This window comes from Homo sapiens, chromosome 19 (genome assembly GCF_000001405.40).
Source record: "Homo sapiens chromosome 19, GRCh38.p14 Primary Assembly".
In the NCBI taxonomy this organism is placed as follows: Eukaryota; Metazoa; Chordata; class Mammalia; order Primates; family Hominidae; genus Homo; species Homo sapiens.
Window position 1 is genome coordinate 7,026,836 of NC_000019.10, and position 24,900 is coordinate 7,051,735.

General features: G+C 41.5%; 3 protein-coding genes across 3 annotated transcripts; 2 read left to right on the top strand and 1 right to left on the bottom strand.

Annotated features, from left to right (window-relative positions):
- The first annotated feature begins 3,742 nt into the window (after positions 1–3,742).
- Positions 3,743–6,176, top strand: MBD3L5 (methyl-CpG binding domain protein 3 like 5). Its single transcript, NM_001136507.2, has 2 exons — positions 3,743–3,821; positions 5,478–6,176. The coding sequence occupies exons 1-2, from the start codon at positions 3,777–3,779 to the stop codon at positions 6,057–6,059; spliced, it is 627 nt and encodes a 208-aa protein (NP_001129979.1). The 5' UTR covers positions 3,743–3,776; the 3' UTR covers positions 6,060–6,176.
- A 4,737-nt stretch (positions 6,177–10,913) lies between these two features.
- MBD3L4 (methyl-CpG binding domain protein 3 like 4) lies at positions 10,914–13,344 on the bottom strand. The gene is made up of 2 exons (NM_001164419.3): positions 13,265–13,344; positions 10,914–11,607 (listed from the first exon to the last, which is right to left on the bottom strand). Exons 1-2 carry the CDS (start codon positions 13,307–13,309, stop codon positions 11,026–11,028), a joined length of 627 nt encoding a protein of 208 aa, NP_001157891.1. The 5' UTR covers positions 13,310–13,344; the 3' UTR covers positions 10,914–11,025.
- A 9,141-nt stretch (positions 13,345–22,485) lies between these two features.
- MBD3L2 (methyl-CpG binding domain protein 3 like 2) lies at positions 22,486–24,900 on the top strand. The gene is made up of 2 exons (NM_144614.4): positions 22,486–22,583; positions 24,206–24,900. Exons 1-2 carry the CDS (start codon positions 22,539–22,541, stop codon positions 24,785–24,787), a joined length of 627 nt encoding a protein of 208 aa, NP_653215.2. The 5' UTR covers positions 22,486–22,538; the 3' UTR covers positions 24,788–24,900.

Consider the following 24,900-nt stretch of genomic DNA (forward strand, 5'->3'; position numbering starts at 1 on the left):
CCAGGCTGGAGTGCAGTGGCGCAATCTTGTCTCACCGCAACCTCCACCTCTGGGTTCAAGCAATTCTCCTGCATCAGCCTCCCGAGTAGCTGAGACTACAGGCGTACGCCACCATGCCTGGCTAATTTTTTTGTATTTTCAATAGAGAGGAGGTTTCACCATGTCGGCCAGGCTGGTCTCAAACTCCTGACCTCAAGTAATCCGCGCGCTTCAGCCTCCTAAAGTGCTGGGATTACAGGCGTAAGCCACTGTGCCCAGCCTACAGCTTTTGTTTTTGAGACAGGGTCTTGCTCTGTCACCCAGGCTGGAGTGCAGTAGCTCAATCACAACTCACTACAGCCTTGATCTCCTGGGCTCAAGTGATCCTCCCACTTCAGCCTCCTAAGTAGATGGGACTACAGGCAGGCATCACCATGCCTGACAATGCTTATTTTTTATTTTTTGTAGAGATAAGGTCTTCCTATGTTGTCCAAGTTGCTTCTAGACTACTGAGCTCAAGCGATCCTCCCACCTCTGCTTCCCAAAATGCTGGGATTACAGGCATAAACCACCATGCCTGGCCCTATACAGCTTTAATAGATGTTTGCATATAGTTTTCCAAAGCGGTTATTCCAATTTAAACTCCCACTATCCTTACGGGAAAGACTGGTCCCTCCATAATCTAGTCAGCACTTGGTGTTTCTGCGTTTTTCCCTTTAGCTAAGTTGATATCTATATAATAGTATCTCATTGTAATTTTTATTTTTTTAGCATTTCCCTGAAGCTAAAAGGGTTAAACATTTGCTCAAATTTTGCTGGTCATTTAGGCCGGGCGCGGTAGCTCATGCCTGTAATCTCAGCAATTTGGGAGGCCAAGGCGGGTGGATCACTTGAGGTCAGGAGTTCAAGACCAGCCTGGGCAACACGGTAAAACCCTGTTTCTACTCAAAATACAAAAATTAGCTGGACGTGGTGGTGGGAGCCTGTAATCCCACCTACTCAGGAGGCTGAGGCAGGAGAATCGCTTGAACCCAGAAGGCAGAGTTGCGGCGAGCCAAGATCGTGCCACTGCACTCCAGCCTGGGTGACAGAACAAGACTCCACCTGAAAATTAATAATAATAATAATGATGATAATAATTTTTTACGGTCACTTGTTTATATTCTTTTGTGTAGGATCCATTCAAGTTTTTCACCCAGTTTCAAGTGTGTTTTCATTATTTTTCTCTGTTTGTTTGACATTATTCTCTTTTTTTTAAATATTAAGATTTTTTTTATATATATACTCTGGCTTGATGTACTTTCCTGGGGGTACAGGATCCAAACCTCTTCCCCCACTCCGGTTTTCCACGCTTTCTCTCTTACTGATGTATTTGAATGAATAGTTGCTCTTAATGTATCTTAATATGGTTCAAATTTGAATTTTCTCCTTTCTATTTAGAGTTTCATTGTATCAAGAAGGCAGATTATCTCCTCATTGACTGTGAAGCTGTTCTTCTACCTAGTTTTTAATTAAAGCTATTTACTGTGTTTTATACTTAGAACTGAAACTAAGAGTATAAGAAATTAGGCCAGGCACGGTGGCTCACGCCTGTAATCCTAGCACTTTGAGAGGCCAAGGCAGGTGAATCACTTGAGGTCAGTAGTTCGAGACCACCCTGGCCAACATGGTGAAACCCCGTCTCGACAAAAAATACAAAAATAAGCTGGGTGTGGTGGCATGTGCCTGTAGTCCCAGCTACTTGGGAGGCTGAAGCAGGAGAATCATTGAACCCGGGAGGCAGAGGTTGCAGTGAGCTGAGATCCCGCCACTGCTCTCCAGCCTGGGTGACAGAGTGAGACCCCATCTCGAAAGAAAAGAGAGAAAAGAAAGGAAGACAGGAAGGAAGGAAGACAGGAAGGAAGGAAGGAAGGAAGGAAGGAAGGAAGGAAAATTAAAATGAGACTGAACCTAGAAAAAAGGTAGATTAGCAAAGTGGAACAAGGTTCAAGAGCAAATATTCCCACCAAAGCATGAACAACATTGGAAACTTCAGAGACAAGTGGGATGTGATTAAAAGAAGAGTAGAGAGAACTTGGACAAGAATGGATATCAGAAGTGAAGGATACATATGCACCTTCCAAACCAATGAAAGACATCAACCCACAGATGCAATTGACTCCACACCCTCTAGGCAAAGGAAATACACAGGAAGCAATAATGAGCTACACTGTGGCCTACAAACCAACCACAACGAGAAAGAGTTTAGAGAATGTGGAAAGCAAAGAAGCAAGGAAAAGCCTGACAGCTGACATCTCAACACAGGTAAAATGAGATAGACATCAGTGGGGCACCATTTCTAATATGCTGAAAGAAATTTGTCAAACCAGACACCCGTACCTGACAGCAATATTGCCCCCAAATAAAGATGCCTAAATAAAAGTGTAAAGGAAAACAATTAGTTGTTAGCAGCATTGAATTAGAAGAAAAATACTAGAATGAATTCTCAAGTCCACAGGGAAATAATCCCAGATTGAATGCTAGAAATGCAGAAAGGAACAAAGATGAATGCACAAGATAAGCTGTAGGTAAATATTAGTGCATATTGCTTTATGAAGCAATACTAGAAATGTCTCCTGGAGAGTAAAATATGTGTAGAATTAATATGCATGAGAATGGTAATACAAAAGTCAGAAACAGCTAAAAAGAGAATTAAAAGTGTTCTAAAGTATTAGCATTTTGTGGGAGGGGTTAAAGTAATTAATTGTATCAGAGTATATGATTTAATTATTAGCATAACTACACAGATTTGTATGGCTGTAACTAGCAAGTTCATGGAGATAACAATAAAATAATAAACATATTTAATTCAAAGTCAGTCAAGTAAAGGCAAAAGGAACGTGAGTCAGTTAAGTCAAAACCTAGGAAAAATGAGATGATTGAAACAATTTCAAATTTACTGGTAATTATATTAAATGTAAATGCACGAAATAGAACTTTTTTTTTTTTTTTTTTTTGAGATGGAGTCTCACTCTGTCGCCCATGCTGAGCTGCAGTGGTGCGATCTCGGCTCACCGCAACCTCTCCCTCCCAGGTTCAAGCGATTCTCCTGCCTCAGCCTCCCGAGTAGCTGGGATTACAGGTGCATGCCACCACACCAGGGTAAGTTTTGTATTTTTAGTAGAAATGGGGTTTCACCATGTTGGCCAGGCTGGTCTCGAACTCTTGACCTCAGGTGATCTACCTGCCTTGGTCTCCCAAAGTGCTGGGATTATAGGCGTAAGCCACCTCTCCCGGCCAAAGTAGTAATTTCTTTGCAACAACTGTGTGATATATTCTATAGGATTGTGAATAAAAGTTTTGGGCTTTCTTTTCTTAAAGAACATTTAAATGGTCTTTAGTTGTTGTTATTAAATCAAATATTACGTGAACATTTATGTACATAGACAATTCCATTCCTATTTCTATAGAAAGTATTCAAAGATGTTTGGAAAACTGGGAGAAAAAGGGAAACATATCTAAAATGCTGATATTAACTGTAAATACCACCCCGCCACACACACATACACACGTATTCAATTCTTTCTCTACTAACACTCTGTGTAGGTAACACCACATTGGTTTCTGTATAAAGATTTAGAAATGCCTCAAATCCAATGGGCGGAGACAGGGTGTTCCCTGTGGATTATCCACTGATTGCATTATCACTCGCTTTCTCTATAAAAAGGGGAACCAGATGCAGAAGTCACTGCATTTTCCGGCAAGCCAAGGGTTGTCTGCATCTCAAGAGTGGGGTCAGCAAGAGAAACTCTACGGCTATGGGAGAGCCTGCGTTCACCTCTTTTCCGAGCCCACCTGTTCTGGTGAGTACGGGATATTTATTGATTACAGGAATGTCCATATGTGTCCTTTTTCCTTCTGTAAGACAGCTTTACAGTTAGCAGTGGGTTGTTCTTAAAACTGGATGTTGTGGAACGTTATACCTCAGGTGTTAATATCTGTTGAATAATGTTCAAAGTATTCTCATTTTTGCCCATGAAACTGTATGGGGATAATAGCTTTGAATTTTTTTTAAAAATCCAACATCACTAGGAAAGGGAAGAAGTATGATTTGGCCTTGCAGTCTTCAAATTGTCTCCTTCTCTGGAAAGCTCCTGAACCAGAAATTGCTTGGTCCGTTTTTTTAAAAAAACAAAAAACAAAAAAAATTAGTTCTCTGGTAAAATTTCATGATGAGTTGCTTATTCCCTAAACTCACTGTCACGATTCATTGTAGTGAATTTCTTTTCTGTTTCTCTGTTTCTCCTCCTTCCATCCCTCTCTGTCACTCCCTTCTTCTTCATCATGGAACTTACTTATATCTGATATTCCACCAGAAATTTGTTTTTAGTGCGTTTATTATGTCTTCCTTCTCACCAAGATGAAAATCAACAGAGTGGTGATTTATGAAGTTTACTTCTGGATCAGGGGTTCTACTGCACAGCTTGGCACATCATAAGTGCCCCGTAACTAAGGGGACTAAATAATTTTCCCTCCAAAGGGGAACATCTTGGGTCAGTATTAATCTTTATGCCAGGGGTACTGTAAGGGGTAGTATTAATCTTTATGCCAGGACAACGAAAAATGAAATGAGGAGGACAGAAACAAAGGCTTTAAAATGGAAAGTGCACTGATGAGGTTTGTGGGGGAAACAGCTTTATGAGACTAGAGTCTTCCAATTGAGTTAGAGCAAGAAAGGACGTCAAATCTTAGGAGGCGCTTGATCATCTTTCTCAGTATGTCATCAAAAGATTCTCTCATGGTATACCTCTAGTTAATTGAGCTTATTAGAAACAGAAAGCAACATGGTGTTTCTGAGGTTTTTCTTCATGAGCAGGAGGTGTTCAGGTGAAGGTGGGATCTGGGTGTGGCAGTGAGTATTTAAGGTGGCGAGTGCAGGATTTCTTTGGAAACCAGAGAGTCAAGGAGCTATGAAAATGACGTTGTGTCCTGAAGCACAGCAGAAAGAGATACAGAGAAGCGTGAGGTCTTGGTGAACAGGGAAGTCTGGGATCCCGGTGTCCTGTTGGGGATGGGTTAGGAGGCACCACCAGCATCTGTGTAGCTGACAGTGGCAGGGAAGAGAAGAGAGGGGTGTCCTCTGAGGAGGATGAGGAGGGACAAGGTCTGGAACTGACCCTGGGTCATGACCTTGAGCATTTAGTCCTTGACTCGCATCAGCCCGATGAGGTCCCAGGACCCAGTGTCAATGCCTGGAGCTCCTGCCAGCAGCATCAGGGTCACACGGAGAAATGCAGACTCTAGGGTCCACCCCAGACTTACTTGGGTTCAGGTCCACATATCTGACTTTAGCAAGCCCTGCAGGGGCTGAGGATGTACACTGCCATTTGAGACACATTTCCCCAGAAAGAGAGGCTGGTGGGAAGATTCCACTGAGCTGAGAGAAGCCCCCCACAGCTGATCTTCTCCTGTCTCCAGTTGGTTGAAATTTCACATTTTCTTTTCTTTTCTTTTGAAAGGGGAAGCTCAAAAGAAACATGATGCCCTGGGCTTTACAGAAGAAACGAGAAATCCACATGGCCAAGGCCCATCGGAGACGAGCTGCGAGGTCTGCTCTCCCCATGAGACTCACCAGCTGCATCTTCCGGAGGCCGGTGACAAGGATCAGGTCTCATCCTGACAACCAGGTCAGACGCAGAAAAGGGGACGAGCACCTGGAGAAGCCGCAGCAACTCTGCGCCTACCGGAGACTGCAGGCCCTGCAGCCCTGCAGCAGCCAAGGAGAAGGTTCAAGTCCACTGCATTTGGAGAGCGTCTTAAGTATCCTTGCACCGGGGACGGCCGGTGAATCTCTGGACAGAGCTGGTGCTGAGCGTGTGCGCATCCCGCTTGAGCCCACCCCTGGGCGGTTTCCAGCTGTGGCAGGGGGGCCAACCCCAGGAATGGGTTGTCAGCTCCCACCGCCCCTCTCTGGCCAATTGGTGACTCCTGCAGATATCCGGAGACAGGCCAGGAGGGTGAAGAAAGCCAGGGAGAGACTGGCCAAGGCCTTGCAGGCAGACAGGCTGGCCAGGCAGGCAGAAATGCTGACAGGTGGGTGAAGCTCAGTCCTGGGCTTTCGGTCCCTTTCTTTTAATGCCCATCCTCATTCCTACTCTGAATTGTCACACTTTTCCCTTCCCCACCAGTTCTTTAATAAAAGTATTTGAAAGGCAACAGGTGTAAGGAGTGGATGTTTTTGTGGTGAGAAATTGGGTTTTATGGGATGAGGAAGGAGACCTTTACATGTCACTGTACATCTCAGTTTCTGTTTACCATGATTTTAATTAATTGTTTTTTTTTGTTTGTTTGTTTGTTTTGAGACGGAGTCTTGCTCTGTTGCCCAGGCTGGAGTGCAATGGCGCGATCTCGGCTCACTGCAACCTCCACCTCCCGGGTTCAAGTGATTCTCCTGCCTCAGCTTCCCGAGTAGCTGGGATTACAGGTGCCCACCACCATGCCCGGATATTTTTTGTATTTTTAGTAGAGATGGGGTTTCACCATGCTGGCCAGGCTGGTCTTGAACTGCTGACCTCAGCAATCTGCCCACCTCGGCCTTCCAAAGTACTGGGATTACAGGCATAAGCCACCTTGCCTGGCCGTTAATTAGTTTTTGTATTAAATTCTAATTTAATCTTTGGCCTGGCGCTGTGGCTTATGCCTGTAGTCCCAGCACTTTGGGAGGCGGAGCAGGGCAGATCGTCTGAGGTCAGGAGTTCAGGACCAGCCTGGCCAATATGGCGAAACCCCATCTCTACTAAAAATAACTAATCAGGTGTGGGGGCGGATGCCTGTAATCCCAGCTACTGGAGAGGCTGAGGCAAGAGAATTGGTTGAACCAAGGAGGCAGAGGTTGCAGTGAGCCAAAATGGTGCCACTGTACTCCAGCCTTGGTGAAACTTTGTCTCAAAACAAAAATTCCAATTTAATTTTCAAATGAAGTCCTTTAAAAATGAAATGAAATTCTGTAATTTTAAATGAAACGAATACATTACATTATAATTTGTTAAAAATGTATTACATTTTCATTTTTAAATTGAGTTTTCATTGTTTGAAATTTTCGAATTAGGGGAACATGTACATGTTTGTTACATGGATATATCGCTTAACGGTGGGGGTTGCTTTTGTAGTTTATGGGTTACCCAAATACTGAATATCGTACCCAGTAGCTAAGTTTTCAACCCATGGGTAAACTCAATTAACCTAGCCTGAAGGATTATTCAGTGTTTAGACATTACATTTTCTCCCTATAGTATACGTTCTCAAGGCGAAGTTGGTACGTATCCCAAGATTTTTTTTTTAATGAAACATTTTTACCCCATTTACTCTGATGTGGTTATCAGACATTTTGTGCCTGTATCAAAATATCTCACGTACCACATAAATATATACACATACTACGTCCCTGCCCGCTGTTTGACTTTGAGTTTCCTTACCTCTTTATCATTGATCGAAACATGGAATGGAATACCTCATGGTAATTATTTTATGCATCTCGGGTTAGGTGGAAACTACTGGTTGTTTTCACTCTAGCAGAGTTAGGGTGGCAGGAAGTGCCCATCAGCAGATGCTACTGCACACCAGCCCGGGCGACAGAGCAAGACTCTGTGTCTAAAAATAGATATATAATTTATATATAATTATAAATACATTATATATAATTTATACATAATTATAAATACATTATGTATAATAAAATTATATACTATATAATTATATTATATACTATAATATATTTCTTATATAATTATATTATAATATAATTTATATGTTATATAATTATATTTTATATTATAATATAATGTATGTTATATAATTATATTTTATATTATAATATAATTTATATGTTATATAATTATATTATATATTATAATACAATTTATATGTTATATAATTATATATTATAATATAATTTATATGTTATATAATTATATTATATATTATAATATAATTTATATGTTATTTAATTATATTATAAATTATAATATAATTTATATAGTATATAATTATACATATTATATATTAAAATATAATTTGTATATTATATAATTATATATATTAAAATATAATTTATATATTATATAATTATATATATTATGTATTATAATTATATTTATATATTATATTTATATAATTATATGTAATATATTTAATTATATAATATAATTATATAATATATACGTATATTACATAATTATGATATATAATTATATATAATTATATTATATATATTATATTATTATAATATAATATATATAATATTATATTATATAATTATATATATTATATATATATATTATATATTATAATATTATATATAATATATATTATATATATATTATATTATATATATATAATATATTATATTATATATAATAATTATAAAATATAATATATATTATATTATATAATATATAATTATACATAACTATATTATATATAATATATAATATAATATAATATGAAATAATTTTATATAATTATATTATATTATATATATTATATATTATATATTACATATTATATATATTATATATAATATATACTATATAATATAATAAAATATATATTATACATAATATATAATATAATAATATATAATTATATATAATATATATAATATACTATAATATAATTATATATAATTATATATAATACAGTTATGTATAATTATATATTATATAATATAATATATATTATATTATATAATTATAATATATATAATTATATATAATTATATAATATACCGATATAGTATATATTATACAATTATATTATATAATTATATAAATATGATATATAAATATAATTATAATATATAATATATAATTACATAATATATAAATTATATATTAATATATAATATATGTAAGTATATAATATATAAATTATATTATATATATAATATAATTATATAACATATAAATTATATTATATATATAATATAATTATATAACATATAAATTATATTATATATATAATATAATTATATAACATATAAATTATATTATATATATAATATAATTATATAACATATAAATTATATTATATATAATATAATTCTATAACATATAAATTATATTATATATAATATAATTATATAACATATAAATTATATTATATATAATATAATTATATAACATATAAATTATATTATATATAATATAATTATATAACATATAAATTATATTATATATAAAATATAATTATATAACATATAAATTATATTATAATATAAAATATAATTATATCACGTATAAATTATATTATAATATAATTATATAAGAAATATATTATAGTATATAATATAATTATATAGTATATAATTGTATTATACATAATGTATTTATAATTATGTATAAATTATATATAATGTATTTATAATTATATATAAATTATATATAATGTATTTATAATTATATATAAATTATATATAATGTATTTATAATTATATATAAATTATATATTTATTTTTAGACACAGAGTCTTGCTCTGTCGCCCGGGCTGGTGTGCAGTAGCATCTGCTGATGGGCACTTCCTGCCACCCTAACTCTGCTAGAGTGAAAACAACCAGTAGTTTCCACCTAACCCGAGATGCATAAAATAATTACCATGAAGTATTCCATTCCATGTTTCGATCAATGATAAAGAGGTAAGGAAACTCAAAGTCAAACAGCGGGCAGGGACGTAGTATGTGTATATATTTATGTGGTATGTGAGATATTTTGATACAGGCACAAAATGTCTGATAACCACATCAGAGTAAATGGGGTAAAAATGTTTCATTAAAAAAAAAATCTTGGGATACGTACCAACTTCGCCTTGAGAACGTATACTATAGGGAGAAAATGTAATCTCTAAACACTGAATAATCCTTCAGGCTAGGTTAATTGAGTTTACCCATGGGTTGAAAACTTAGCTACTGGGTACGATGATTAGTATTTGGGTAACCCATAAACTACAAAACCAACCCCCACCGTTAAGCGATATATCCATGTAACAAACATGTACACATGTACCCCTAAATCGAAAATTTCAAACAATGAAAACTCAATTTAAAAATGAAAATGTAATACATTTTTAACAAATTATAATGTAATGTATTCGTTTCATTTAAAATTACAGAATTTCATTTCATTTTTAAAGGATTTCATTTGAAAATTAAATTGGAATTTTTGTTTTGAGACAAAGTTTCACCAAGGCTGGAGTACAGTGGCACCATTTTGGCTCACTGCAACCTCTGCCTCCTTGGTTCAACCGATTCTCTTGCCTCAGCCTCTCCAGTAGCTGGGATTACAGACATCCGCCCCCACACCTGATTAGTTATTTTTAGTAGAGATGGGGTTTCGCCATATTGGCCAGGCTGGTCCTGAACTCCTGACCTCAGACGATCTGCCCTGCTCCGCCTCCCAAAGTGCTGGGACTACAGGCATAAGCCACAGCGCCAGGCCAAAGATTAAATTAGAATTTAATACAAAAACTAATTAACAGCCGGGCAAGGTGGCTTATGCCTGTAATCCCAGTACTTTGGAAGGCCGAGGTGGGCAGATTGCTGAGGTCAGCAGTTCAAGACCAGCCTGGCCAGCCTGGTGAAACCCCATCTCTACTAAAAATGCAAAAAATATCCGGGCATGGTGGTGGGCACCTGTAATCCCAGCTACTCGGGAAGCTGAGGCAGGAGAATCACTTGAACCCGGGAGGTGGAGGTTGCAGTGAGCCGAGATCGCGCCATTGCACTCCAGCCTGGGCAACAGAGCAAGACTCCGTCTCAAAACAAACAAACAAACAAAAAAAAACAATTAATTAAAATCATGGTAAACAGAAACTGAGATGTACAGTGACATGTAAAGGTCTCCTTCCTCATCCCATAAAACCCAATTTCTCACCACAAAACCATCCACTCCTTACACCTGTTGCCTTTCAAATACTTTTATTAAAGAACTGGTGGGGAAGGGAAAAGTGTGACAATTCAGAGTAGGAATGAGGATGGGCATTAAAAGAAAGGGACCGAAAGCCCAGGACTGCGCTTCATCTACATGTCAGCATTTCTGCCTGCCTGGCCAGCCTGTCTGCCTGCAAGGCCTTGGCCAGTCTCTCCCTGGCTTTCTTCACCCTCCTGGCCTGTCTCCGGATATCTGCAGGAGTCACCAATTGGCCAGAGAGGGGCGGTGGGAGCTGACAACCCATTCCTGGGGTTGGCCCCCCTGCCACAGCTGGAAACCGCCCAGGGGTGGGCTCAAGCGGGATGCGCACACGCTCAGCACCAGCTCTGTCCAGAGATTCACCGGCCGTCCCCGGTGCAAGGATACTTAAGACGCTCTCCAAATGCAGTGGACTTGAACCTTCTCCTTGGCTGCTGCAGGGCTGCAGGGCCTGCAGTCTCCGGTAGGCGCAGAGTTGCTGCGGCTTCTCCAGGTGCTCGTCCCCTTTTCTGCGTCTGACCTGGTTGTCAGGATGAGACCTGATCCTTGTCACCGGCCTCCGGAAGATGCAGCTGGTGAGTCTCATGGGGAGAGCAGACCTCGCAGCTCGTCTCCGATGGGCCTTGGCCATGTGGATTTCTCGTTTCTTCTGTAAAGCCCAGGGCATCATGTTTCTTTTGAGCTTCCCCTTTCAAAAGAAAAGAAAAGAAAATGTGAAATTTCAACCAATTGGAGACAGGAGAAGATCAGCTGTGGGGGGCTTCTCTCAGCTCAGTGGAATCTTCCCACCAGCCTCTCTTTCTGGGGAAATGTGTCTCAAATGGCAGTGTACATCCTCAGCCCCTGCAGGGCTTGCTAAAGTCAGATATGTGGACCTGAACCCAAGTAAGTCTGGGGTGGACCCTAGAGTCTGCATTTCTCCGTGTGACCCTGATGCTGCTGGCAGGAGCTCCAGGCATTGACACTGGGTCCTGGGACCTCATCGGGCTGATGCGAGTCAAGGACTAAATGCTCAAGGTCATGACCCAGGGTCAGTTCCAGACCTTGTCCCTCCTCATCCTCCTCAGAGGACACCCCTCTCTTCTCTTCCCTGCCACTGTCAGCTACACAGATGCTGGTGGTGCCTCCTAACCCATCCCCAACAGGACACCGGGATCCCAGACTTCCCTGTTCACCAAGACCTCACGCTTCTCTGTATCTCTTTCTGCTGTGCTTCAGGACACAACGTCATTTTCATAGCTCCTTGACTCTCTGGTTTCCAAAGAAATCCTGCACTCGCCACCTTAAATACTCACTGCCACACCCAGATCCCACCTTCACCTGAACACCTCCTGCTCATGAAGAAAAACCTCAGAAACACCATGTTGCTTTCTGTTTCTAATAAGCTCAATTAACTAGAGGTATACCATGAGAGAATCTTTTGATGACATACTGAGAAAGATGATCAAGCGCCTCCTAAGATTTGACGTCCTTTCTTGCTCTAACTCAATTGGAAGACTCTAGTCTCATAAAGCTGTTTCCCCCACAAACCTCATCAGTGCACTTTCCATTTTAAAGCCTTTGTTTCTGTCCTCCTCATTTCATTTTTCGTTGTCCTGGCATAAAGATTAATACTACCCCTTACAGTACCCCTGGCATAAAGATTAATACTGACCCAAGATGTTCCCCTTTGGAGGGAAAATTATTTAGTCCCCTTAGTTACGGGGCACTTATGATGTGCCAAGCTGTGCAGTAGAACCCCTGATCCAGAAGTAAACTTCATAAATCACCACTCTGTTGATTTTCATCTTGGTGAGAAGGAAGACATAATAAACGCACTAAAAACAAATTTCTGGTGGAATATCAGATATAAGTAAGTTCCATGATGAAGAAGAAGGGAGTGACAGAGAGGGATGGAAGGAGGAGAAACAGAGAAACAGAAAAGAAATTCACTACAATGAATCGTGACAGTGAGTTTAGGGAATAAGCAACTCATCATGAAATTTTACCAGAGAACTAATTTTTTTTGTTTTTTGTTTTTTTAAAAAAACGGACCAAGCAATTTCTGGTTCAGGAGCTTTCCAGAGAAGGAGACAATTTGAAGACTGCAAGGCCAAATCATACTTCTTCCCTTTCCTAGTGATGTTGGATTTTTAAAAAAAAATTCAAAGCTATTATCCCCATACAGTTTCATGGGCAAAAATGAGAATACTTTGAACATTATTCAACAGATATTACCACCTGAGGTATCACTTTCCACAACATCCAGTTTTAAGAACAACCCACTGCTAACTGTAAAGCTGTCTTACAGAAGGAAAAAGGACACATATGGACATTCCTGTAATCAATAAATATCCCGTACTCACCAGAACAGGTGGGCTCGGAAAAGAGGTGAACGCAGGCTCTCCCATAGCCGTAGAGTTTCTCTTGCTGACCCCACTCTTGAGATGCAGACAACCCTTGGCTTGCCGGAAAATGCAGTGACTTCTGCATCTGGTTCCCCTTTTTATAGAGAAAGCGAGTGATAATGCAATCAGTGGATAATCCACAGGGAACACCCTGTCTCCGCCCATTGGATTTGAGGCATTTCTAAATCTTTATACAGAAACCAATGTGGTGTTACCTACACAGAGTGTTAGTAGAGAAAGAATTGAATACGTGTGTATGTGTGTGTGGCGGGGTGGTATTTACAGTTAATATCAGCATTTTAGATATGTTTCCCTTTTTCTCCCAGTTTTCCAAACATCTTTGAATACTTTCTATAGAAATAGGAATGGAATTGTCTATGTACATAAATGTTCACGTAATATTTGATTTAATAACAACAACTAAAGACCATTTAAATGTTCTTTAAGAAAAGAAAGCCCAAAACTTTTATTCACAATCCTATAGAATATATCACACAGTTGTTGCAAAGAAATTACTACTTTGGCCGGGAGAGGTGGCTTACGCCTATAATCCCAGCACTTTGGGAGACCAAGGCAGGTAGATCACCTGAGGTCAAGAGTTCGAGACCAGCCTGGCCAACATGGTGAAACCCCATTTCTACTAAAAATACAAAACTTACCCTGGTGTGGTGGCATGCACCTGTAATCCCAGCTACTCGGGAGGCTGAGGCAGGAGAATCGCTTGAACCTGGGAGGGAGAGGTTGCGGTGAGCCGAGATCGCACCACTGCAGCTCAGCATGGGCGACAGAGTGAGACTCCATCTCAAAAAAAAAAAAAAAAAAAAGTTCTATTTCGTGCATTTACATTTAATATAATTACCAGTAAATTTGAAATTGTTTCAATCATCTCATTTTTCCTAGGTTTTGACTTAACTGACTCACGTTCCTTTTGCCTTTACTTGACTGACTTTGAATTAAATATGTTTATTATTTTATTGTTATCTCCATGAACTTGCTAGTTACAGCCATACAAATCTGTGTAGTTATGCTAATAATTAAATCATATACTCTGATACAATTAATTACTTTAACCCCTCCCACAAAATGCTAATACTTTAGAACACTTTTAATTCTCTTTTTAGCTGTTTCTGACTTTTGTATTACCATTCTCATGCATATTAATTCTACACATATTTTACTCTCCAGGAGACATTTCTAGTATTGCTTCATAAAGCAATATGCACTAATATTTACCTACAGCTTATCTTGTGCATTCATCTTTGTTCCTTTCTGCATTTCTAGCATTCAATCTGGGATTATTTCCCTGTGGACTTGAGAATTCATTCTAGTATTTTTCTTCTAATTCAATGCTGCTAACAACTAATTGTTTTCCTTTACACTTTTATTTAGGCATCTTTATTTGGGGGCAATATTGCTGTCAGGTACGGGTGTCTGGTTTGACAAATTTCTTTCAGCATATTAGAAATGGTGCCCCACTGATGTCTATCTCATTTTACCTGTGTTGAGATGTCAGCTGTCAGGCTTTTCCTTGCTTCTTTGCTTTCCACATTCTCTAAACTCTTTCTCGTTGTGGTTGGTTTGTAGGCCACAGTGTAGCTCATTATTGCTTCCTGTGTATTTCCTTTGCCTAGAGGGTGTGGAGTCAATTGCATCTGTGGGTTGATGTCTTTCATTGGTTTGGAAGGTGCATATGTATCCTTCACTTCTGATATCCATTCTTGTCCAAGTTCTCTCTACTCTTCTTTTAATCACATCCCACTTGTCTCTGAAGTTTCCAATGTTGTTCATGCTTTGGTGGGAATATTTGCTCTTGAACCTTGTTCCACTTTGCTAATCTACCTTTTTTCTAGGTTCAGTCTCATTTTAATTTTCCTTCCTTCCTTCCTTCCTTCCTTCCTTCCTTCCTTCCTTCCTTCCTGTCTTCCTTCCTTCCTGTCTTCCTTTCTTTTCTCTCTTTTCTTTCGAGATGGGGTCTCACTCTGTCACCCAGGCTGGAGAGCAGTGGCGGGATCTCAGCTCACTGCAACCTCTGCCTCCCGGGTTCAATGATTCTCCTGCTTCAGCCTCCCAAGTAGCTGGGACTACAGGCACATGCCACCACACCCAGCTTATTTTTGTATTTTTTGTCGAGACGGGGTTTCACCATGTTGGCCAGGGTGGTCTCGAACTACTGACCTCAAGTGATTCACCTGCCTTGGCCTCTCAAAGTGCTAGGATTACAGGCGTGAGCCACCGTGCCTGGCCTAATTTCTTATACTCTTAGTTTCAGTTCTAAGTATAAAACACAGTAAATAGCTTTAATTAAAAACTAGGTAGAAGAACAGCTTCACAGTCAATGAGGAGATAATCTGCCTTCTTGATACAATGAAACTCTAAATAGAAAGGAGAAAATTCAAATTTGAACCATATTAAGATACATTAAGAGCAACTATTCATTCAAATACATCAGTAAGAGAGAAAGCGTGGAAAACCGGAGTGGGGGAAGAGGTTTGGATCCTGTACCCCCAGGAAAGTACATCAAGCCAGAGTATATATATAAAAAAAATCTTAATATTTAAAAAAAAGAGAATAATGTCAAACAAACAGAGAAAAATAATGAAAACACACTTGAAACTGGGTGAAAAACTTGAATGGATCCTACACAAAAGAATATAAACAAGTGACCGTAAAAAATTATTATCATCATTATTATTATTATTAATTTTCAGGTGGAGTCTTGTTCTGTCACCCAGGCTGGAGTGCAGTGGCACGATCTTGGCTCGCCGCAACTCTGCCTTCTGGGTTCAAGCGATTCTCCTGCCTCAGCCTCCTGAGTAGGTGGGATTACAGGCTCCCACCACCACGTCCAGCTAATTTTTGTATTTTGAGTAGAAACAGGGTTTTACCGTGTTGCCCAGGCTGGTCTTGAACTCCTGACCTCAAGTGATCCACCCGCCTTGGCCTCCCAAATTGCTGAGATTACAGGCATGAGCTACCGCGCCCGGCCTAAATGACCAGCAAAATTTGAGCAAATGTTTAACCCTTTTAGCTTCAGGGAAATGCTAAAAAAATAAAAATTACAATGAGATACTATTATATAGATATCAACTTAGCTAAAGGGAAAAACGCAGAAACACCAAGTGCTGACTAGATTATGGAGGGACCAGTCTTTCCCGTAAGGATAGTGGGAGTTTAAATTGGAATAACCGCTTTGGAAAACTATATGCAAACATCTATTAAAGCTGTATAGGGCCAGGCATGGTGGTTTATGCCTGTAATCCCAGCATTTTGGGAAGCAGAGGTGGGAGGATCGCTTGAGCTCAGTAGTCTAGAAGCAACTTGGACAACATAGGAAGACCTTATCTCTACAAAAAATAAAAAATAAGCATTGTCAGGCATGGTGATGCCTGCCTGTAGTCCCATCTACTTAGGAGGCTGAAGTGGGAGGATCACTTGAGCCCAGGAGATCAAGGCTGTAGTGAGTTGTGATTGAGCTACTGCACTCCAGCCTGGGTGACAGAGCAAGACCCTGTCTCAAAAACAAAAGCTGTAGGCTGGGCACAGTGGCTTACGCCTGTAATCCCAGCACTTTAGGAGGCTGAAGCGCGCGGATTACTTGAGGTCAGGAGTTTGAGACCAGCCTGGCCGACATGGTGAAACCTCCTCTCTATTGAAAATACAAAAAAATTAGCCAGGCATGGTGGCGTACGCCTGTAGTCTCAGCTACTCGGGAGGCTGATGCAGGAGAATTGCTTGAACCCAGAGGTGGAGGTTGCGGTGAGACAAGATTGCGCCACTGCACTCCAGCCTGGGTGAGAGAGAGACTGTCTCAAAAGAACAAACAGGCGGTGGCTCAAGCTTGTAATCCCAGCACTTTGGGAGGCCGAGGCAGGCAGATCACCTGAGATCAGGAATTCAAGACCAGCCAGGCAAACATGGTGAAACACCATCTCCACAAAAATACAAAAATTAGCTAGGCCTGATGGTGGGTGCCTGTAATCCCGGCTAGTTGGGAGGCTGAGGTGGGAGAATTGCTTGAACCTGGGAGGCGAGGGTTGCAGTGAGCCGAGATCGTGCCACTACACTCCAGCCTGGGCAACAGATCGAGACTCCGTCTCAAACAAACCCCAAAAGCCGTATAAACGTCTACCCTCTTCCCTTGCACACAGCATTTATCTCAACATTGTACATGCGTGCCCACCAATTTCATGTTCTGCGGGGCACAGAACCTGCAGTCATAATAGCTCTTGTCAGAAACCAGCCAATGAACAGCAGGAGAATGAATAAATACTGGGGCATCTGCACCCATCGGATCTTCTCACAGCAATCAGAACTCACAAATGACAACCGGCACAACCTTAAGCCTTGATCTCTCAAAGCTGAGGTTAATCCAAACCCAAGACAGTGCATACCATGTGGTTCCCTACACGTGAAACAAAAACCAGCCAAACTAATCCTAGGTGCTGTTACAACAGAGGGTGCCTTTGTGGGAGGCAGGATGGGGTAGCAGGAAAAGGCACCTGGGGATGAATCCGCTATTCTATTCATTGATTTCAGTGCTGGGCATGAGTGCGTTCAGTTTGTGAAAGTTCGTGAAGATGTATGTGTCTGATTTTTTGCACTTTGCTCTATGTAAGTTCTATGGCAATAACAATTGAGGAAAAGAGACTGAGATATAAACTCCCGCTTATGGCCAATCTGTGGCAAACTTCCACCCCATAAAACAACCTCAGGAATACCGCCTTGTATACTGGGAATTTGCCGAAAGAGTAGATTTCAGCTACTCTTTCTACACACACGTACACAAAGGTAATTACATCAGGAGACGGATATGTTCCTTTGCTTCATTGTAGTAATCATTTCGCTACATATACGTGCATCAAAACATCATGTATGCCTTAAATACATACAATTAAAAACAACACAGGCTGGGCGCAGTGGCTCACGCCTGTAATCCCAGCACTTTGGGAGGCCAAGGCGGGTGGATCACGAGGTCAGGAGATCAAGACCATCCTGGCTAACACGGTGAAACCCTGTCTTTACTAAAAATACAAAAAATAGCCGGGTATGGTGGGGGGCACCTGTAGTCCCAGCTACTTGGGAGGCTGAGGCAGGAGAATGGCGTGAACCTGGGAGGTGGAGCTTGCAGTGAGCCGAGATAGCGCCGCTGCACTCCAGCCTGAGCAACAGAGCGAAACTCTGTCTCAAAAAACAAACAAACAATCAAACAAACAAAACCCCCACACACCTGGGTGCAGTGGCTCGCGCCTCTAATCGCAGCACTTTGAGAGGCCGAGGCAGGTGAATTGGTTGAGGCCAGGAGTTTGAGACCAGCCTGGCCAACATGATGAAACCCTGTTGCTACTAAAAATACAAAAATTAGCCAGGCATGGTGGTGGGCACCTGTAATCCCAGCTACTTGGGAGGCTGAGGTACATGAATCCCTTGAACCTGGGAGGTGGAGGTTGCAGTGATCTGAGATCACGCCACTGCACTCCAGCTGGGGTGAGAGTGAGAATTTGTCTCAAAACAAACAAACAAACACCCAACACCTAATAGATAAACAGATAAAAAAAATACAATTTCTGCAGCCTTGGTCTCTGCAGTGACTACTCAGTTTTTTCTTATGATTTTTCACAATCTTTTCCTTGTGTAAATCCTCCTGGTTTGATCTTTGGGGATGCAGAGAAATACTGGCTATTTTGCCAATTTGGACCTGGGACTAGGAAGTTTAAGACACAATTAGGGCCGGGTGCGGTGGCTCACGCCTGTAATCCCAGCACTTTGGGAGGCCAAAGCAGGAGGATCATGAGGTCAGGAGCTGAGACCGTCCTGGCTAACACTGTGAAACCCCGTCTCTACTGAAAAATACAAAAAAAATTAGCTGGGCGTGGTGGTGGGGGCCTGTAGTCCCAGCTACTCGGGAGGCTGAGGCAGGAGAATGGCGTGAACCCAGGAGACAGAGCTTGCAGTGAGCTGAGATCGCGCCACTGCACTCCAGCCTGGGCGACAGAGCAAGACTCCGTCTCAAATTAAAAAAAAAAAAAAAAGACACAATTAGCTTACAGATTTAATCCTGTAGGGCAATTTCAAGGTACTGATGTCTCCCTCAGCACCTCAGCAAACTCCATTATATGGATGCAAATGATCCTGCCTGGGATCCAGACACCAGTCCTTTTAAATTTTACTGTGAAATTCAAATGAGCTGCAAAATCTGAGACCCCCGAAATGACAGAAATGTCCTCTTCTTGACTTAGAAATGAAGGACTTAGAGTTCCTTTTTTTTTTTTTTTTTTTTTTTTTGCGATAGAATCTGGCTCTGTCACCCAGGCTGGAGTGCAGTGGTGCGATCTCAGCTCACTGCAAATTCCGCCTCCCGGATTCAAGCAATTCTCCTGCCTCAGCCTCTCGAGTCACTGTTATTACAGGTGCCCACCACCAAGCCTAGCTAACTTTTGTATTTTTTTTTTTTTTCGAAACAGAGTCTTGCTCTGTCGTGCAGGCTGGAGTGCACTGGTGCGATCTTGGCTCACTGCAACCTCTGCCCCCTGGGTTCAAGCAATTATCCTGCCTCAGCCTCCTGAGTAGCTGGGATTACAGGCACCTGCCACCACGCCCAGCTAATTTTTGTATTTTTAGTAGCGATGAGGTTTCACCATGTTGGCCAGGCTGGTCTTAAACTCCTGACCTCAAGTGATCCAACCACCTCGGCCTCCTAAAGTGCTAGGATTACAGGCGTGAGCCACCACACCCGGCCTAATTTTTGTATTTTTAGTAGAGATGGGGTTTCACCAAGTTGGCCAGGCTGGTCACAAACTCCTGACCTCAAATGATCTGTCCGCCTCGGCCTCCCAGAGTGCTGGGATAACAGGTGTAAACCACCCTGCCCTGGCAGGACTTGGAGTTCTTAAAAATAATAATAACAATAAATTCTGTTTGGGAGGCTGAGGTGGGCAGATCACTTGAGGTCAGGACAAGACCAGCCTGGCCAACATGATGAAACCCTGACTCTACCAAGAATACAAAAATTAGCTGGGCGTGGCTGGGCGTGGTGGCTCATGCCTGTCATCCCAGCACTTTGGGAGGCTGAGGCAGGTGGATCACCTGAGGTCGGGAGTTTGAGACCAGCCTGGCCGACGTGGTGATACCTCGTCTCTACTAAAAAAAATACAAAAAATAGCCGGATGTGGTGGCAGGCGCCTGTAATCCCAGCTACTTGGAACTTGGAAGGCTGAGGCAGGAGAACTGCTTGAACCTGGCAGGTGGAGGTTGCAGTGAGCCGAGATCACGTCATTGCACTCCAGCCTGGGCAACAGAGCAAGACTCTGTCTCCAAGAAAAAAAAATTAGCTGGGCGTGGTGTCTTGGGCCTGTAAACCCAGCTACTTGGGAGGCTGAGGCAGGAGAATTGCTTAAACCCGGGAGGTGGAGGTTGCAGTGAGCCGAGATCACGTCATTGCACTCCAGCCTGGGCAACAGAGGGAGACTCTAAATAAATAAATAAATAAATAAATGATTTCTGATTTCCTGGCCCCTCCCGTAGGCATCCGGAGACACTGGTCTGGAAGGCACCCAGGTGTGAAAACACTCCCAGGTGTGTTTTCTGCAAACCAAAGTTCAAAACCACAGACTCCAAACCAACCAGGGAAGTGGTGTGTCATCCTTGGCTGTCCTTTTGGTCTTTAGGGGATTGTAAAATTCCTATAGCCTAGGCTGCATCCAACATCAGTGGAATAAAAATGTGTAGGGGTGTGTGCTACCATTAGTTTTTCAAACTCTCCAGGAGATTCCAATGTACGTTCAGGTTGGGATACAAATAAAGTACATTTCTTCCCATTTAAACTCTCACTGGCTACACGTGAATGGTATGATTGCTCCATAGCCATGTCTGCACTTGGCATTGCTATTTTTTCATTTTAGCCAAACAGAAGTGTATATGAGTATCTCATAGTGATTTTTCATCAGCGTTTATCTGAAGCTAAACAGAATTTGGGCATGTGTTCAGGATTGTATTGACCATTTATTTATTCTCTCTTCAATAGTGCCTACTGAAGTTTTCCACTCATTTTGCACATCAATTTTTAGTATTTTTTTTCATTTGATGGACATCTTTCTAGTCTGTATTCTGGCTTGATGTACTTTACTGGATGCACATCATGCAAATATCTTTTCCAATATGATTTTCTAACACCCATTTCTCTCTGCATTTTCATTAATAGGAGATCTTTCTTTTTTTTTTTTTAGATGGAGTCTCACTCTGTCGCCCAGGCTAGAGCGCGGTATATTGTGTCTATATATTGGAGTTTGCAGGGGAGGCATCGGTGCATTGAAATTGCCACAATGTGATTAAATACGTAAGCTAATTGTGTCTTAAACTTCCTAGCCCCAGGTCCAAATTGGTAAAATAGCCAGCATCTGTCTGCCTCCTCAAAGATCAAACCAGGAAGATTTATACAATGAAAACATCATGAAAAATAATAGGAAAAAACTGAGTAGTCACTGCATAGACCAAGGCTGCTGAGACTGTATTTCTTTTTTATTAGGTCTGTTTATTTATTAGGTGTTTTTCTTTTTGTTTCTTCTCTCTTTTTTTTTTTTTTTTTTTTTTTTTTTTTTTGAGATGGAGTCTCACTCTGTCGCCCAGGCTGGAGTGTAGTGGCACTATCTCGGCTCACTGCAACCTTTGCCTCCCAAGTTCACACCATTCTCCTGCCTCAGCCTCCCGGGTAGCTGGGATTACAGGCATGCACCATCATGCCCAGTTAATTTTGTATTTTTAGTAGAGACGGGGTTTCTCCATGTTGAGGCTGGTCTCGAACTCCTGACCTCAGGTGATCCGCCCGACTCGGCCTCTCAAAGTGCTGGGATTACAGGATTGAGCCACCGCACCCGGCCGACAATTCCATTCTTATTTCCGTAGAATGCTTTCAAAGATGTTTGAGAGAATGGGAGGAAAAGGAAACATATCTAAAATGCCGATATTAACTGTAAATACCACCCCGCCACACACACGGATTAAATTCTTTTTCTACTGACATTCTGTGTTGGTAACACCATATTGGTTTCTGTATAAAGATTTAGAAATGCTTCAAATCCAATGGGTGGAGACAGGGCGTTCCCTATGGATTATCCACTGATTGCATTATCACTCCCTCTATAAAAGAGGAGCTAGATGCAGAAGCCACTGCATTTTCCGGCAAGCCAAGGGCTGTCTGTGCCTCAGGAGTGGGGTCAGCAGGAGGAACTCTACAGCTATGGGAGAACCTGCGTTCACCTCTTTTCCAAGCCTGCCTGTTCTGGTGAGTATGGGATCCTTATTGACTATTGACCAAAATAATGTCCATTTGTATTCCTTTTTCTTTCTGTAAAACATCTTCACAGTTTAGCAAGTTGTTCTCAAAACTAGATGCTATCTCGTGGAAACTTATACCCTAGGTGTTAATATTTGTTGAGTAATACTCAAGTAATATTCAAAATATTCAACAATATTCTAATTTTTTGTTCACGGAGCTATCTGGGGATAATAGCCCTGATTTTTTAAAAGTCCAACAACATCACTAAGAAGGAAAAGAGGTATTACTTGGCCTTGCAGTCTTCAAATTGTCTCTCTCTCTGGAAAGTTCTTGAACCAGAAATTGCTTGGTCCCTTTAAAAAAAAATTTTAGTTCTCTGGTTAAATATCATGATTGGTTAGTCCTTCCCTAAACTCACTGTCATGATTCATTGTAGTGAATTTCTTTCTTTTCTGTTTCTCTGTTTCTCCTCCCTCCATCCCTCTCTGTCTCTCCCTTCTTCTTCATCATGGAACTTAATTATATCTGATACCCTATCGGAAATTTGTTTTTAGTGTGTTTATTATGTCTTCCTTCTCACCAAGATGAAAATCAACAGAGTGGTGATTTCTGCAGTTTACTTCTGGATCAGGGGTTCTACTGCACAGCTTGGCACATCATAAGTGCCCTGTAACTAAGGAGACTAAATAATTTTCCCTCCAAAGGGGAACACCTTGGGTCGTGTAAGGGGTAGTATTAATCTTAATGCCAGGACAACAGAAATGAAATGAGAAGGACAGAAATGAAGGCTTTATGTTTGTATCTGAAACAGCTTTATGAGACTAGAGTCTTCCAATTGATTTAGAGCAAGAAAGGATTTCAAATCTTAGGAGGGGCTTAATCATCTTTCTCAGTATGTCATCAAAAGATTCTCTCATGGTGTAACTCTAGTTAATTGAGCTTATTAGAAACAGAAAGCAACATGGTGTTTCTGAGGTTTTTCTTCATGAGCAGGAGGTGTTCAGGTGAAGGTGGGATCTGGGTGTGGCAGTGAGTATTTAAGGTGGCGAGTGCAGGATTTCTTTGGAAACCAGAGAGTCAAGGAGCTATGAAAATGACGTTGTGTCCTGAAGCACAGCAGAAAGAGATACAGAGAAGCGTGAGGTCTTGGTGAACAGGGAAGTCTGGGATCCCGGTGTCCTGTTGGGGATGGGTTAGGAGGCACCAGCATCTGTGTAGCTGACAGTGGCAGGGAAGAGAAGAGAGGGGTGTCCTCTGAGGAGGATGAGGAGGGACAAGGTCTGGAACTGACCCTGGGTCATGACCTTGAGCATTTAGTCCTTGACTCGCATCAGCCCGATGAGGTCCCAGGACCCAGTGTCAATGCCTGGAGCTCCTGCCAGCAGCATCAGGGTCACACGGAGAAATGCAGACTCTAGGTTCCACCCCAGACTTACTTGGGTTCAGGTCCACATATCTGACTTCAGCAAACCCTGCAGGTGCTGAGGATGTACACTGCCATTTGAGACACATTTCCCCAGAAAGAGAGGCTGGTGGGAAGATTCCACTGAGCTGAGAGAAGCCCCCCACAGCTGATCTTCTCCTGTCTCCATTTGGTTGAAATTTCACATTTTCTTTTCTTTTGAAAGGGGAAGCTCAAAAGGAACATGATGCCCTGGGCTTTACAGAAGAAACGAGAAATCCACATGGCCAAGGCCCATCGGAGACGAGCTGCGAGGTCTGCTCTCCCCATGAGACTCACCAGCTGCATCTTCCGGAGGCCGGTGACAAGGATCAGGTCTCATCCTGACAACCAGGTCAGACGCAGAAAAGGGGACGAGCACCTGGAGAAGCCGCAGCAACTCTGCGCCTACCGGAGACTGCAGGCCCTGCAGCCCTGCAGCAGCCAAGGAGAAGGTTCAAGTCCACTGCATTTGGAGAGCGTCTTAAGTATCCTTGCACCGGGGACGGCCGGTGAATCTCTGGACAGAGCTGGTGCTGAGCGTGTGCGCAGCCCGCTTGAGCCCACCCCTGGGCGGTTTCCAGCTGTGGCAGGGGGGCCAACCCCAGGAATGGGTTGTCAGCTCCCACCGCCCCTCTCTGGCCAATTGGTGACTCCTGCAGATATCCGGAGACAGGCCAGGAGGGTGAAGAAAGCCAGGGAGAGACTGGCCAAGGCCTTGCAGGCAGACAGGCTGGCCAGGCGGGCAGAAATGCTGACAGGTGGATGAAGCTCAGTCTTGGGCTTTCGGTCCCTTTCTTTTAATGCCCATCCTCATTCCTACTCTGAATTGTCACACTTTTCCCTTCCCCACCAGTTCTTTAATAAAAGTATTTGAAAGGC